Below are 17,716 nucleotides of genomic sequence, written 5' to 3'. Positions count from 1 at the left end.
GAGAATAAATGGAGTTGGGTGTAAATGGAAGGCATAAGAAAGGATGTGGAAATGCTAGTTAGGAGGCTGTAATGGCAATCCAGATGCTACTAACCCAGGTGGGGTTAATAAGGGTTAGCAAGAATTTTAAGTTTCCAAATCTACCCTTACTTTTTTTTTTTTTGGAGACGGAGTCTTGCTCTGTCGCCCAGGCTGGAGTGCAGTGGCGCAATCTCGGCTCACAGCAAGCTCCGTCTCCCAGGTTCACGCCATTCTCCTGCCTCAGCCTCCCGAGTAGCTGGGACTACAGGTGCCCGCCACCATGCCCGGCTAATTTTTTTTTGTATTTTTAGTAGAGACGGGGTTTCACCGTGTTAGCCAGGATGGTCTTGATCTCCTGACCTCGTGATCTGCCCGCCTCGGCCTCCCAAAGTGCTGGGATTACAGGCGTGAGCCACCACACCCGGCCAGTCTACCCTTATTTTCTATTAAATGTATTTCCATTAAATGTACTTTATATTTTATTTTATTTTATTTTGAGACAGAGTCTGGCTCTCTCGCCCAGGCTGGAGTGCAGTGATGGGATCTTGGCTCACTGCAACCTCCAACTCCTGAGTTCAAGTGATTCTCCTGCCTCAGCCTCCTGAGTAGCTGGGATTACAGGCACCCGCCACCATGCCTGGCTAATTTTTGTATTTTTGGTAGAGACAGGGTTTCACCATGTTGGTCAGGCTGGTCTTGAACTCCTGACCTTAAGTGATCCACCCTCCTTGGCCTCCCAAAGTGCTGGGATTACAGGTGTGAGCCACCTGTAGCTTAAAGCTTAAAGTAAGCCAAAATGTACTTACTTTAAGTCAACTTTCAGAAACAAAGTTTTTTTTATAAAAGGATCCGTATCTTGTAAAAGACACAGATGCAATAAAACTTAAGTTCATTTAAATGAGAAATAAAGGATGACTTAAAGAAGTATGAATGGAATTATACCAGAAAATCTGTGGTGAAGATAATGATTGTAATTGAGTTCAAAAGTTAGCTCTGAGTTTCTGGCAGCCTAGGTATAGAAGGGAATAGGATAGGTTGTGTGATTGTTTAACAAAGGAAGCATGGGATATAATGCTCTTTTCTATAATGTCCTTTGTTCCAAATATTTAAAGTGTTTTTTTATAGATGTGAAGTTAAACCACTTAGATAGGTCCAGATTGTTGAAACCCAAGACCTCAGCTCTTGAGATCATAGCATTAATCCATTGTTCGTAGTAGGTCACACTGGTATTTTAAAAAGTAAAAACTTAAGAAAAATATAGGGCTGAACTACATATATGCATTTCCTTCCTTCTTTTCTTTTCCTTTTTTTTTTTTAAAGACAGGGTCTTGCTCTGTTGCCCAGTCTGGAGTGCAGTGATGTGATCATAGCTCACTGCAGCCTCGAACTCCTGGTCTCAAGCTATCCTTCCACCACAGCTTCCCAAGTAGCTGAGACCACAGGCACATGCCACCATTCTTGGCTAATTTCTTATTTCTTTTGTAGAGACAGGGGCTGTGTTGCCCAGGCTGGTCTTCATCCCCTGGCCACAAGTGATCCTTGGCCTCCCAAAGTGTTGGGATTACAGGTGTGAGCCAACATGCCTGACCCATGTTTGCATCTCTTTTTTTTTCTTCTTTTTTTACTGCTCCTTATGGAACAGGGCTAGCTAATCTGTAGGCAGTGTGCTTGGAATTGGCTTTATATGAATTTTTTATTAGCCCTCTTGTTACAGTTGAGGAGTAAAGGGAGGGTTAGAAGGGAAGTTAAAGATAATAGAGAAGGTGAGAAATAATAGACTAAAATCCCATGATGCAACCCATGGGCACGAGGTAGACCCTTATTATATTTTCCTGTGTCATCACAGATACTTGCCTGCCTCTGTAGTAGCTATTTAATTTGTGTCTACAAATACTTATTCATAGAGGACATCTTCCTGCCTTGGAAGACACATTAGTCTTATAGCTATTTAATTTGTGTCTACAAATGCTTATTCATAGAGGACATCCTTCCTGTCTTGGAAGATGCATTAGTCAAGGACAAAGAATGTACAGAAGTGACAGTTTTATTTCTTAACTCTTCACATTCCAACCCCAAAACTTCCAAAATCAAAAACCTTAAAAACAAAATCATTTCAAATTGTAAATAAAGTCACCCAGGGTTAGCAGTGGCTCTCCTGTGAGTTATCTGCCCCTGGGACTAAATCTCCATGCATTCTCTTCCCAGCCCTGTATGCAAGCAACAGCTTCAGCTACAGTGCCTACTCTGTGTATAGTGTTAGGTCCAAAGGCACAGGAGGGACGCAGGAGAGCCAGAGAGAGTAGGACAATAGGGAACAAGAAGTCAGAGAAGTCTAGATTGTTGGCTCTTGAAATAGTGGCATTAATCCATTTTTGGTAGTAGATTACATTGGTGTAGACTCCAGGAAGAGATTTACCACATTCTAATCCCCAGCTTACTACTCCTGTCTGGATCCATACACCATCAATGTGACACGACAGAGGCCCTCCAGAATCACCCTAAGGAAGAAATGAAAGGTAATGAGCATAGTGAAAAGAGGCATAAAGAAGAGAGTAGTAATAAGGGGTGGAGAATTCTTTAAAACTGGGCCATGAGACCCATGGAGCTGTGGAACCCTGCAGGGGGCTGGACTAATCACTGCTTTAGGGAGATATCACAGGAATTTTAGAATCATAGAATTGAAATTGTCAGAGACCTTAGTGAAATATATTAGTAATTTCAAAATATTTGTCTGTGATAAAAAGAGAAATAAAACTAATGAGATGATTTTTTCACTAAAGATAAATTTATTCAAATGAATGAACTGCCTTAATTTCCTGTTCTTACTGCTCTTGTTTAGTGTTAAGTAATCCATTCTTACCTAAAATGATAGTGATAGTTGTTGGTAGTAGTCTTCTAGTCTTGTTCTCTTTCTTTTTTGTAACAGCTTTACTGTCATATAATTCACATACTACACAATTCAGTGGTTTTTAGTATATTTACAGTGTTGTACAACCATCACCACAACCCATTTTAGAACATTTTTATCACCCTAAAAAGAAACCTCATACCCATTTGTAATTATCCCCATTTCTTCCCAACCCTCCCAGCTAGGCCAACCAGTAGTCCACTCTCTGCCTCTATGGATTTGCCTATTTTAGACATTTCATATAAATGGAATCATGTAATATCTGACCTTTTGTGTCTGGCATGTTTCAGTTAGCACATTCTTTTCAAGGTTCCTTCATGTTGTATCAGTACTCCACTCCTTTTAGGGCTGAATAATATTCCATTGTATGGATGTACCACTTGGTGTTTCTGCATTCATCACCTAATGGACATTGTGATTGCTTCCATTATTTGGGCTATTATATTATAAATAATGCTTCTATGGCCCAGCATGATGGTTCGTGTCTGTAATCCTAGTGCCTTGAGAGGCCAAGGCAGGAGGATCAGGCCAGGCATTTGAGACCAACCTGGGCAACCTAGTGGAACCCTGTCTCTTCAAAACAAATAAATAAGTAAATAGCTGCTATGGTGGCATATGCCTGTCATCCCAACCACTCGGGAAGCTGAGGCAGAAGTATTGCTTGAGCCATGTTTACAATGAACTATGATCCTACCACTGCACTTCAACCTGGGTGACAGAGCAAGACCCTGTTTCTAAAATAATAATCATGCTGCTGTGAACACTTGTGTACCGGTTTTTTCTTTGTTTATTTAGAGATGGGGTCTCCCTGTTTTGCCCAGGCTGGTCTTGAACTCTTGGGCTGAAGCGATCCTTCTGCCACAGCCTTCTGAGTAGTTGAGATTACAGGTGGAAGCCACTGTGCCCAGCTCACGTGCAAGTTTTTGTATGGACATATTTTTATCTTTCTTGGTCATATACCTAGGAGTGGAATTTCTGGGTCATATGGTAATTCTATGTTTAACCTGTGAGGAACTGCCAAACAGTTTTTCAAAGAGGCTGCACCATTTTATATTACCACCAACAGTGTTAGAAGGCTCCAATTTCTCTACATTTGCATATCTTTATACCAGTTGGACATTTGTATATCTTTAGAAAAATATCTATTCAGATGCTTTGCTCTTTTAAAAACTGTGCTCTTTTTATGATCGAGTTACAAGTGTTCTTTTTTCTAGATACAGATCCCTTACATATATGATTTGCAAATATTTTCTTCCGTTTCATAGGCTACCTTTTTACTTTGTTGATGGTGTCCATTGAAGCATAAAAGTTCTGAATTTTGAAGAACTCTAATCTACTTTTTTTGTTGCTGCTTATGCTTTTGATAACATATCTAAGAAAATGTTGCCTAATCAAGGTCACAAAGACCTACCTATATGTTTTTTCCTAAAGGTGCTATAGTTTAGCTCTTATATTTAGGTCTTAGATCCATTTTGAGTTAATTTGTTATATGGCGAGGTCAGGGTCCAAGTTCATTCTTTTGCATGTGGTTGTCTACTTGTCCCAGCATCATTTGTTGAAATGACTATTATTTGTTCATTGAACTGATTCAATACCAATGTTTAAAAATAATTGACCATAAATATAAGGGTTTATTTCTGTACACTCAATCCTATTTCATTGATCTATAGATGTCTCTCCTTATGCTAGTACCACACTGGCTTGATTACTGTTAGTTTTGAAATATGAAAAATGTGAGTCCTTCAACTTGTTTCTTGTTTTTCAAGATTGTTTTGGGCCCCTTGAATTTCCATATGCAGTTTAGGATCAGCTTGCCAATTTCTGCAAAGAAACCAGCTGGGTTTTCATAGGGATTACATTGAATCTGTAGATCCATTTGGAGAATACTGCAATTTAAGCAATATTAACTTTATTCCTATTTTATTCTTTTTAAAACTATTATAAATGGAATATTGTTTTCTTAAATGTTTCCTTAGATTATTCATTGCAACTGCATGGAAATACAGTTGCTTTTTTCTTTTTTCTTTTTTTTTTAAGACAGAGTCTCGCTTCGTTGCCCCGCCCAGGCTGGAGTGCAGTGGCGAGATCTCAGCTCACTACGCCCAGCAAGTTTTTGTATTTTTAGTAGAGACGAGGTTTCACCATGTTGGTCAGGCTGGTCTCGAACTCCTGAACTCAAGGAATCCACCTGCCTTGGCCTCCCAAAGTGCTGAGATTACAGGCCTGAGCCACTGCCCCCAGCCTACAGTTGCTTTTAGTATATTGTCCCTATATCCTTCAGTTTTGCTGAATGTGTTTATTAGTTCTAATTTTTTGGGGGTGGCATTCCTTTAGATTTTCTATTTATAAAATCATGTCATCTGTGACTAGAGATAGTTTTACTGTTTCTTTGCAATCTGGATGTCTTTTTATTTGTCTCTTGCTTATTAATTCTGGCTAGAACCTCCAGTACAGTGTTGCATAGAAATGACAAGAATAGACATCCTTGTCTCTTTCCTGACCTTATGGCAAAAGCATATAGTATTTTACCACGAAGTATTTTAGCTGTGGGTTTTTTTGTAGTTGCACTTGATCGAGTTGAAAAACTCCACTCATCTCATTGTTGAGTGTTTTGTTTTTTTTTTAACGTGAAGCGTTGTTGGATTTTTGTCAAATTTTTTTCCATATTTATTGACATGATCATATGGTTTTTGCTCTTTATTCTAAGAACATGGTATATTAACATTGATTGATTTCTGGATTTTAAACCAACCTAAGTTTCCTGGGATAAATCCCAGTTGTTTATGGTATATCCTTTTTATTTTTTATTTTTTGAAAAATAAAAAAAGAGAGAGGGGTCTCACTTTGTCTCCCAGGCTGGAATGTGGTGGCACAAACACTGCTCACTGTGGCCTCGACCTCCCGGTCTCAAGTGATCATCCCACCGCAGCCTACCGAGTAGCTGAGACTACAGGTGGCTAATATTTAAAATATTTTGTAGAAACGAGGTCTCACTATGTTGCCCAGTCTAGTCTTGAACTCCTGACCTCAAGTGATCCTCCCGTCTTGGCCTCTCAAAGTGCTGGGATTACAAGGCTTGAGTCACCACATCCTAAAAAGAACCCACATACCCATTTGTAATTACCCCCAGTTTGGATTTTGAGGTCAGCCAACTTGACTTCCTGTTGAAACATGAAATCGGCATTCCGGTATATATAGTCCTTTTTATATGTTGTTGGATTTGGTTCATTGAGGATTTTTACACCTCTGTTCATAAAAGATACTGGTCTATAGCTTCCTTGTGATGCCTTTGTCAGGTTTTGGTCTCAGTAATACTGATCTCGAATGAGTTGGGAAGTGTTCCCTCTTTTTTTTTTTTTTTTTTTTGGAGACAGAGTCTTGCTCTGTAACCGAGGCTGGAGTACAGTGGCATGATCTTGACTTACTGAAACCTCTGCCTCCCGGGTTCAAGTGATTCTCCTCCCTCAGCCTCCTCAGTAGCTGGGATTACAGGCATGAGCCACCACACCCAGCTAATTTTTGTATTTTTAATAGAGACAAGGATTTACCATGTAGGCCAGGCTGGTCCCAAACTCCTGACATCAGGTGATCTGCCTGCCTCGGCCTCCCAAAGTGCTGGGATTACAGGTGTGAGCCACTGTGCCCAGTCCCCTCTTTTATTTTTCAAAAGAACTTGTGTAGAATTGGTATTAATTACTATTATTATTATTATTATTATTATTATTTTTGAGACAGAATCTCACTCTGTCACCCAGGCTGGAGTGCAGTGGCGCGATCTCGGCTCACTGTAACCTCTACCTCCCAGATTCAAGTGATTCTCATGCCTCAGCCTCCCGAGTAGCTGGGAATACAGGCACATGCCACCATGCCTGGCTAATTTTTGTATTTTTTGTAGAGATGGGGTTTTGCCACATTTGCTAGGCTCGTCTCGAACTCCTGGCCTCAATTGACCTGTCCGCCTTGGCCTCCTAAAGTACTGGGGTTACAGGTATGAGCCACTGCCTGTGGCCAGAATTGGGATTAATTATTTAAATGTTTGGTAGAATTCATCAATGAATTCTATCTGGACCTGGTCTTTTATTTCTTCGTAGTTTTTTTTTTTTTTTTAATCACAAATGCAATCTCTTTACTTTTTATTAGGTTTATTCAGACCATCTATTTCTTCTTAGGTAAGTTATGGTAGTTTGTGTGTTTCTAGGAATTTGTCCATATCATCTTAGTTATCTAATTTTTTGGCATACTGTTATTCATAGTAGTGTGTTACAAATTCTTTTTATTTCTGTAAGGTTGGTAGTAATGTCCCAGTTTTATTTTTAACTTTAGTAATTTCAGTCTTTTTTTTTTCTTGCTCAGTTTAGCTAAAGTTTTTTTTCAATTTTATTGATCTTTTTAAAAACCAACTTTTGCTTTTGTTTATTTTCTCTATTGTCTTTCTGTTCTCTATTTCAGTAATTTCCACTATATCCCTTATTTCCTTCTTTGTATTTTCTTTAGGTTTAGTTGTTTTTTTTTTTTTTTTTTTTCTTTAAGACAGGGTCTCACTGTGTCACCCAGCCTGGAGCACAGTGGTGCAAATATAGCTCACTGCAGCCTTGAACTCCTGGGCTCTAGCAATCCTCCCAAGTAGCTGGGACCACAAGTGTACCACCATGCCTGGCTGATTTTTTTTTTTTTTTTAGAGATAGGGTCTCACTGTATTGCTCAGGCTGGTCTCGAACTCCTGGGCTGAAAAAAAATCTCCTACCTTATCCTCCCAAAGTGCTGCGATTACAGGTATGTGCCATCACACCCAGCCTTTTTTTTAGTTTTATTTATGTATATATATATTTTTAAGAGACAGAGCCACAGAGTCTTGCTCTGTTGTCCTGGCTGGAGTGCAGTGGTGTGATCATAGCTCACTACATATGTGAACTTCTGGGCTCAAGGGATCCTCCTGCCCCAGTCTCCTAAGTAGCTGGGACTACAGGCTTGTGCACCATACCCAGCTAACTTTTTAAATTTTTAGTAGAGACAAGGTCTCACTATGTTGCCCAGGCTGGTCTTGAACTTCTTTTTCCAGTGTCTTGTATGGAAGATTAGGTTACTGATTTGAGATATATTGTTTAACGTAGGCATTTACAGATATAAATTTCTCTCTAAGCACTGCTTTAGCTGCTTCCATAAGATTTGATATGTTGTTTCTTCATTTTTATTCATCTCAAAATATTTCCTAATTTAGCAGTGTGTTACTTTCCACATATTTGTGAATTTCCATATTTCTCTCTTATTTACTTCTAATTTCATTCCATTGTGATTAGAAAATATAATTTGTATAATTTTAATCCTTCCAACTTTATTGAGGCTTGTTTTACAGCTTAGCATATGGTTTATTCTGGAGAATGTTCCATGGGCACTTAAGAGGAAAGTATATTCCGCTCTTCTTAGGACTCTTTCTGTTTTTAAAATTTCTTATGGGAGTGACTTGTCTCTGACAAACTCTGCTTCGGGTAACAGTTATAAATTGTGGACAGCATATAAAAGGCTACTCTCTGAAGGCAGTGGAGAGTGGCCAATAGCAGGCAGAAACTAGAGTCAATCCTTGGAAGAAAGGAATGACACTCTTTTTTTTAAAAAGTGGCTTTTCCCTTAAAGCAGGCCCCAGTCATTATCATGCATAGTGGCTGGTAAAAGAAACCCACAGTCTTACTGACTTGAGGAATTAGAGGATAGAGTTCAGAGCTACCTTAGCAGTTGGAAAGTGCAGGGAAATATACCAGAAAGGAGAGAGCCACAGAGCGAGAGTCCCAAGTTCTGCATATAAACTCTGCTCAAATTTCTGAATACACCCTGAATTACATACATGTGCAGGTTAGACTCCAAGCAGCTCAGCTAAGGCTAAAATAACTGCTGATGCCTATCACAGGAGAGATCCAGTTTGGATTTTGAGGTCAGCCAAGTTGACTTCCCGTTGAAACAGGAAATCAACATTCTTTAGAGAAGCATAACAATCTGTACTCCCTACACCATGCTATTGACATTGTCCAGGATATATTCCAAAATGATTAGATATTAAAGTAAACAAAACAACAGGAAAACGTTTTCCAAGATAAACTGGAAAATGCTACTCATGAGAAAAAGCAATTGTTGGAGAATATCCCTGAGATAACTCAGATTGATTTTGGAATTAGCAGATAAGGATTTAAAGCAACTATTATAACTGTGATCAACACATGTAAAGGAAAATATTTATAATATACAGCTAGAAAATCTTGGCAGAGATGTAGAAAGTATATGTGGATGAGAGGAGAGAATAAAACCAAATGGTCATTCTATAACTAAAAAATAAAATGTCTGAAATAAAAACTTCACTAGATGGACTTAAAATGTAAATGACAGCAGAAAGAGGCAGTGATCTTCAATACAGATCAATTTAAAAATATCCAATTTGAAGAACAGAGAGAAAAACATAAAAATAAAATGGACTTGTGTGAAAATACCAAAAGGTATAACTTAACAAGTTTATGGTTTCATCTAGAAGGGGAGGAGAGAGAAATGAGGCAGAATAGTTTTTGAAGAAATCATTACTGAAAAATTTCCAAGTGTTGGTGAAATATGTTAAAGAATAGATTTAAAAAACCAAAAACTCAGTGAACCCCAAATAGGATAAATGCAAAGAAAACCACACCTAGTACATCATATTCAAACTGCTGACAATCAAAGGTAAAGAAAAAATACTGAAAGCAGCCAGAGCAAAACAACACATTACACTCCATGGAATGACGATGCAAATAATGGCTGATTTTTCATCAGTTATGACCAGGAGACAATAGAACGACATCTTTTAGGTATAGAGTGAAATGTTCTTACTTGAAAAAATTTAAAAGTTGGCAATTCTGCTTCAACCTCATAATATACTTATGAAAATATACAGGTCTATAAAAGTCTAGCAACCCAAGGAGGAAGGATTGCTTGAGGCCAGGAATTTGGGATCAGCCTGGGCAACATAGTGAGACCTCATCTCTACAAAAAAATGAAAAAAGTATGTGGGCCTGGTGAGGTGTGAGCTTGTAGTCCCAGCTACTCAGGAGGCTGAAGTGGGAGGATGACTGATTGAACCCAGGAGCTGGAGGCTGTAGTAAGCTATGATCATGCCACTGTACTCAAGCCTGGGTGACAGAGCAAGGCTCTGTCTCTAATTTAAAAAAAAAAAAAAAAAAAAAGTCCAATGACCAGTCGTTAGTATTGGTCTAGATCAATAGTCTTATAGTTGAAGAAACTGATTTCACAGATAGAAGTTAAGTGATTTGTCCAGGGTAACATAAGAGTTATTCTTAGAACCCTCATCTCCTGACTCCCAATCCACTGTTATTTACAGATAGGAAAACCTGGATCCAAATTAAGATCTCATGTTTAAAAAAAAATTCTCTAGAGCAAACCCTGACCTTGCAACTATCCTTCATGTTTTGAGTATCACCAGCACAAATCTTGTCTTCCTTGATGACTGGCTCCAGTGCTGGCAAGAAGATACCGATGGGATTGTAGAGCTGTTCACAAGCCTGGCGGTCAATAATGGGTACTTCTGCTTCCTGAAGGGCAGAATGGTAATCTCTATCTGTGGAGGAAGACAGGAACAAAAGATTAAAGCAACCTAGAAAAGTGCAGGGGCAGCATTCAGTCATGATGTGCAGAAGTCTCTGAATGGGAATCCAAAAGCAGCTTACAATGCCTTTCCAATCATATTTGCTTATGGGTGGATCTTTTGGTACACTTAAATCTAAAACTCAGTAATTCTAAATTATTTCTGCTTCTTTGAGGTTTTTTTTTAATTGAGCCATTGTTCTAAATAATGAGTACTTCCGATAAATTCTGATTGAGTAAAGGTATGACTATTCTAAAGGATTCTAAAACTTCTTCCTTTCCCATGTTTTTTGCTTCTAGATCAGTTCTTGTCTTGTGTCTACTCCAACCTGGGAAAGAGTTGACGTAAAACTTGAAAAACAGTTAAAAAACACTAGACGCTCTCCAAACTTTAAATCAGTCTTATTAACCTCTGTTTGAGAGAGGTAGTTATGTGTTTAAATTGTTAGTATCTGCTCTTCCAGCTATAGCTAGACTCTGCAAGATGCAAGAGTAAATAACATAAAAATATAAATGTCAAAAAAGATATTTTATTTAAAAACTTATAGATAATATCATTAGATTGATCTGGTTTTGTTGAAAAATATTTTCCATGGTAAGGATATGCCTAGAATATGAATGTTCTGGAGTACAAGAGGATGACATATGAAACAACCCTTCTCTCTGCCCATTCTCACCTGAACTTTCCTTAACTTTTCCCCATCCGGTCACCCAACAAAAGGGTGGAATTGCCAACTGCTTTGTGACACTGGGCAAGCAAATAGGCAGGATGGCAGAAGTGAAGGTGACTTGAGAGGACAGTTTCAACAAGGCGACGTCTGCCGTTGTATCTTGGTACTTGGGATGGATGACGATTTTGGACACGTAGTACTTCACACGTTTCCTTGAGTCACCTACTGTAATCGATCCTAGCCACACAGTATATGAAAAAGTAGTCCAGGTCCTATGGGGAAAAGAAAGGAGGCCTGCTTATGGCCTGCAGCTGGGTCAGAACAGGCTGCCTATATGTAGCACTAAGTCTCTACTCAAGAAAGGAGGGTAGCCAACTGGGAATTAACCATGGTGCTTCCAACTTCAACTAGGGTTGATTTGTCTCCTTCTTTCCTCTCTTTCTCCCCGTCCTTCCCTGACCACTCTTTCTGTGGTCTCTTCCTAGAGGCTTGTGGCTTGAGTTTTGCCCTGTGTTTTCTCTCCGGTTCTCTCATTTACCTCTCCCATTCTCCATGGTTTCAGCCATCACCTGTATGCTTAATAGACATTGCTGTTTATTGTCCATACTAATTTCTGTTCTGAGCACTAGACCTTCATTTCTGAATAAAATTTTAAAGCAAAATATAACCACAGTTACACATATACACAGTTAAAATGCCAGGTAATTTGATAAGATGTACAAAATAAATAAATAAATAAATAAATAAATAACAAGTTCTCTGCCCCACCACCCTCAGTTCAAACTATTTAGAGGCAATGACTTTCAACTCTTTTAGCTCTTAGTAATTTTCAAGTGTTTTCAAGAAATCCTATATATAGCTGTTTCTTGATTTTTCTTTTTCAGTTTTAGAATCCTGAGTTCCTAGTGTGGAAGGTGAGGATTGAGCTTTCTTACACATCGCTGTCTACCCCCCACCTCCCACTTCCATTCCACCCATCCTCCTAGCCAGTGTTATCATAACTTTTCGTTAGATCAGTATTTAATGCGTTTGTTCTTGTGACTATGTAAACATTGTTCACTACTGGGTCCTATTGGGTGATTACATTTCTTATAAAACGTTTTGCTTCTCCTGGAGTTGATAAGTGGGCTCACTTTGGTTTTTTGTTTTTATCTTTATACCCATCACCAGTCTCATTCCCCAGGCTCTCCACCAGAAGTGTAAATCTCCTCTCATTTTGTTCAAACTTGTCAGGCATTCTATCAATACTATCTTTTTTTTGGAGCCCTCTGCTCTCTTGTTCTAATCTGGGCTGCTGCACAGCCATCATCTTGGCACTTTCTTTATCCTTTATGACTTTCTTAGGGATTCTCTTCTGTGTTTTATTCCCCTTTTGTCTGGATCCTGTGTTTTCCTGTTTTTCCCCCTTTATTTTGGTGGAGCAGATTCTCCTATGGCTTCTTGAGAAAATGTGCATGAGAGGTAACATTTTTGCTGCTTTGTGTATGTGAAAATGTTTTACTTCTATCCCACATTTGATTGATAGTTTGCATATGGGTAGAATTCTAAGTTGGAAATAAATTTTTTTTAGCATTTTGAAGTTATTACTCTATTTTCTTTGAGTTTTTTTTTAAACTTAATTTTTTTTTTAGAGACAGGGTCTCACTCTGTCGCCCAGGCTGGAATGTGTGGTACAATCATAGGTCACTGCAGCCTTGAACTCCTAGGCTCAAGTGATCCTTCTACCTCAGCCTCATGAGTAGCTGGGATTACAGGTGCAAGCTGCCACACCTGGCTTATTTTCATTGAACTTTCAGTGTTGTTATTGAAGAGTCCTGGAATTTTAATTTCTGTTGTGTATTAGTTATCAATTGTTGCATAATAAGTTATAAAGCTTAGTGGCTTAAAACAACAAATATTTATCTCATAGTTTTTATGGGTCAGGAATCAGGTGTGACTTAGTTGAGTACCATTGACTCAAGGTTTCTCATGTGGCTGCAATCAAGGTGAGCTGCAGCTGCAATCAAGGTGAGCTGCAGTCATCTTACTGGGGAGGATCTGTGTCCAAACTCACGTTGGTAGGCTTTGGGTCTTCTCGCTGTTGACTAGAGATGCGGGTTCCACATGGGCCTCTCCATAGGGACACTCACCACATGACAAGTTGCTTCTCTCACAGCAGTGGCTCTTAGAGCTCAGATTGTGTTTATGACCCAAAAACACGACAAAAATCTCCTGACTGGTATTTAGAAGGTGATTTGGCAAAAAATAAGAAAAGTCTTTAATATAGTGCCTGTCTCCAACTTTCCTTTTTCTACTTCTATGCCCTGTCTCTAGTTGTTTCGGGTTTGATAGTCTGACATGACCTGGGTTTCCTTCCGCCCTGCCTATTTTACCACTTTCATTTGTCTTTTGGTTCATTCATGAAGTGATGCAAATATTCACTGAGAACCTGTCTGTGTGTTAGCTGCCAGCTAGAACTCACGGTTGTATGCAGTGTGCTGCTGTCAGTATCAACCTCTCACTGACGAGGGAACCTCCACAGATAAAGTTGTGGTCAAAGTGTAGGCTGACCTGCCAAGGCCAGCGCCCTGCAGCAGCATCCTGGCCACCTACAACGCGGCTGGAGTATACAGGTTGCCCACACACTAGAGAAAGAGAAGAAAGGGAAATGTGGAAACCTAGGAGTCCTGTTTCTCTGGTCCCCACCTTATCATCATTCCCAAACTCCCATCTATTCCTAGGACCTGAACCCTCCCTAGACACCATACTCCATCCTATTCTGGTTCCACACCCAGCAGTCTTGGGCTCAAAATGGAGACCACTCCCCTGATTGTAGCTCTTTCTTTTTGGGAAAAGAGTGTAAGCAAGAACCTAAGGAAGAAATAGGGTATCATTAACACATAGTAACACATCTAATATCTAGATTCACTGAACAGAGAACCTTCCTTTATATTTAAATTTTCCAGATTGGTGTTAAAGGCCAAAATTTTCAAATGCCTTCTACCTATTAGTGGGAATCTTCACAAACATACTTACCTGCCTTCTTTAGCAGCACACATGGAATATCATTTAACTTAAAATTTTTTTTTTAAACCAGGGATAGTGGCTCATGCCTGTAATCCTGGTGCTTTGGGAGGATGAGGTGGGAGAACTGCTTGAGGCCTGGGCAATATAGTGAAACCAGGTCTCTAAAAAAAAAATTGAAAAAGAAAAAGATTTCCACATTTCTCTTTCTCTTCTTTCTCTAGTGTGCTGGTGACCTGTATACTCAAGACGTGTTGTAGATGGCCAAGATGCTGCTGCAGGGTGCTGGCCTTGGCAGGTCAGCCTATACTTGGGCCACAGCTTTATCTGTGGATGTTCCCTGGTCAGTGAGAGGTGGATACTGACAACAGCACACTACATACAAGTGTGAGCTCTAGCTGGTAGCTAGCACACAGACAGGTTCTCAGTGAATATTTGCATGACTACATAAATGAACCAATAGACAAATGAAAGTGGTAAGATTGACTGGGCACAGTGACTCACGCCTATAACCCCAGCACTTTGGGAGGCTGAGGTGGGTGGATTGCTCAAGTCCAGGAGTTCAAAACCAGCCTGGGCAACATGGCCAAACACCGTCTCTACAAAAAATATAAAGAAATTAGCCTGACATGATGGTGCATGCCTGTAGTCCCAGCTACTTGGGAGGCTGAAGCAGGAGGATTGCTTGAGCCCGGGAGGTGGAGGATGCGGTGAGTTTAGATCATGCCACTGCACTCCAGCCTGGGCGAGAGAGTGAGACCCTGTCTGAAAAGAAAAGGAAAAAAATGTGGTGAGATAGGCAGGGCAGAAGGAAACCCTAGGTCACATGGGACTCTCAAACTAGGGATGACCAGAGATAAGGCACAGAAGTAGAAAAAGGAATGTTGGAGACAGGTGCTATATTAGAGACTTTTCTTACTTTTCACAAATCACTTCCTAAATACTAGTCAGGGTTTTTTTTTTCTTCTTTTGGGCCACAAACACAACAGGTGTGGTTCAACCACACCTGTAGTCCCAGCTACTAGGGAGGCTGAGTGGGAGGATTGCTTGAACCCAGGAGTCTGAGGTTGCAGTGGGCTATGATTGCACCACTGCACTCTAACCTGGGTGACAGAGTGAGACTCTGTCTCTTAAAAAAAAAATGCTCTATGAAGATTCAAATTTAGCTTTTACTTGATTCAAGGTCACCATCAGGAATATGAAGTATGTTAGTTTATAAATACAATGATGCCCTCAGATGCGGTTGAGGTTGCAAGCTGTTTACTTTTGTGCTATTTGGTTTAACTGAATTGGCATTTTGCAGTATTTGTGTATCTTTCTTCTTTGCTACCTGTTAAGTTTTTTGCTCTCTCAGCATACCCTTTCTGTTTTTTGGGGGGACGGGGTCTTACTCTGTCGCTAAGGCTGGAGTGCAGTGGCGCTATCTCGGCTTACTGCAACCTCCACTTTCCAGGCTCAAGCACTTCTCCTGCCTCAGTCTATTGAGTAGCTGGGACTACAGGTGCCCGCCACCACGCCCGGCTAATTTTTGTATTTTTTGTAGAGATGGGGTTTCACCATGTTGCCCAGGCTGGTCTTGAACTCCTGATCTCAGGTGATCTGCCCGCCTTGGCATCCCAAAGTGCTGGGATTACAGGCGTGAGCTGCTGTGCCTGGCCAGTATACCCTTCCTTTAAATCCCTGTGGACCAGAAAAATAAATGAACAAGCATATACCTGAAATCATAGAATAGTGTTTGCTCTTCCAGTTCCCTCTGCTTGAGATGCTCTTTTCCTGGATCCTCTTACTTAATTTAGTTATCCCCTTCAGTTCTGCTCAAATGACTCCTTCTTAGTGAGGCCTTCTTTAACTACCCTTCTAAAGATTGCAACACTCCTGCCCCTGTACTTCAGATGCCCCTTTCCTTTCATAGTACTTATTACCTTCTAACAAGCCTTATAATTTACACATTTAATATGTGCATTGATTATAAGTCCCACGAAGATAGGGATCTTGTGGGTGTGTGTGTGTACTGCTATTTCCAATCGGGAGCATTGGAATGGTGCTGGGTATATAGTAGCCTCTCAGGACCTTCTCAGGCTGTGCTACTCATAACTAACATCCCATGGGTGAAGTGTCACATTGTTCTATGTGATGCCCTCTTTAGTAAAAATCCTCTGCCTCTGCCTTCTCAACCCCACCCTGGCGCTCACCTGAGATCCCCAGCAGAAGGAGCAGCGTGAAGGCACAGCCAGCAGGGCCCATGTCTCTGTCCTCAGAGCCAGTGAGCGCTTCCTGCTTCCTGGACTCAGGCTCCCAGGAAGAGGCCAATGGGGAGCTGCCAGAACTAGCTTCTCCTAGATGGATTCCTCTGCTTCACCCCCTCCTCTCCTTTGGTCTTCACCCGCTGCCAGATCCTGAAGGGACCAGACTTCAGAAGTGCAGCTGCAGGACCCAGGGGAGGAACTGGGGTCTGTGGCGCCCCCTGCTGTCCTGGGAGAGCAGGGTTTCTGGGGTTTCTGCCTGTGGTGTTGAGGAGTGGCTGGTTGAGGGCACTGGAAGAAACAGGACCCTGTCTCTAGCAAGGAGATAGAAGGTGGACAGGATTCTCCAAAAGCAAGAAATGGAAAAGAGGAAATGAACCCAGTATCTGGTTAATTTTTCTGAGTTTTTTTGTTTGTTTGTTTTCATTTCTGTTACAGTGTTAGCTGCACTGCAAGTCAAGTTTCCTGGGAAACAGACTCTAAGACAGAGATTTGTGTGCAGGAAATTTATTTTAGAGTGGTCTCAGGATCAGCAGCTCTTGGGTGGGTAGTAGGATTGGTTAGAGGGAGAGTTGAACTGTGATGCGTTTGCAACAGAGGCCACAGCCTATCTCACAAGTTTCTCTGGAGCTGAGGTGGCCCTCAGAGACTTTCTGTACTGAGCTAAGAAGGATGCGTTCTTAGGGGTCTGCATCATTGGATGCAGGCCACCTCCTAGGAGGGGGCATTACCTTGGGTGAGGTGGCTCTGTTGGCAGTTCTTGGAATAAGACTTAGCTGTGAACTGTCAGCAGCCAACACTCCTAGCTGCTAAGGGAATGAATGCTTCAGTTCTAAAGGGGGGTCTGGATGGTACACCACAACATCTACCTCAGAAATCTTCACTCTGCCTTTTGTTTTCTGTGCCAATTGTTTGTAGGGTGCTAGGTCTGTGGAGGCAGAATTCAATGAACTATTAAAATGTTACTGCTCTCTTGCAACTTAAAATATTGGGATGCTTGAAAGAAACATATAAGCAGTTTAAAACTAATAGGCCAGGCACGGTGGCTCATGCCTGTAATCCCAGCACTTTGGGAGGCCGAGGCGGGTGGATCACCTGAGGTCAGGAGTTTGAGACCATCCTGGCCAACATGGTGAAATCCCGTCTCTACTAAAAATACAAAAATTAGCTGGGTGTAGTGGCGTGCACCTGTAGTCACAGCTACTCGGGAGGCTGAGGCAGGAGAATCGCTTGAACCCGGGAGGCGGAGGTTG

At 40.8% G+C, this 17,716-nt stretch overlaps 2 protein-coding genes across 5 annotated transcripts in view; one reads left to right on the top strand and one right to left on the bottom strand.

Annotated features, from left to right (window-relative positions):
• SH3D19 (SH3 domain containing 19) overlaps positions 1-17,716 on the top strand; it is a 205,325-nt gene that overhangs the window by 31,969 nt on the left and 155,640 nt on the right. The gene's annotated exons all lie outside the window — the stretch shown is intronic.
• On the bottom strand, positions 1,775-16,476 carry PRSS48 (serine protease 48). The gene is made up of 5 exons (NM_183375.5): positions 16,413-16,476; positions 13,679-13,841; positions 11,224-11,489; positions 10,351-10,520; positions 1,775-2,519 (listed from the first exon to the last, which is right to left on the bottom strand). The coding sequence occupies exons 1-5, from the start codon at positions 16,462-16,464 to the stop codon at positions 2,184-2,186; spliced, it is 987 nt and encodes a 328-aa protein (NP_899231.4). The 5' UTR covers positions 16,465-16,476; the 3' UTR covers positions 1,775-2,183.

This window comes from Homo sapiens, chromosome 4 (assembly GCF_000001405.40).
Source record: "Homo sapiens chromosome 4, GRCh38.p14 Primary Assembly".
Lineage (NCBI taxonomy): Eukaryota > Metazoa > Chordata > Mammalia > Primates > Hominidae > Homo > Homo sapiens.
The sequence above is the reverse complement of the archived record's forward strand: the minus strand, read 5'-3'. Positions and strand labels throughout refer to the sequence as shown.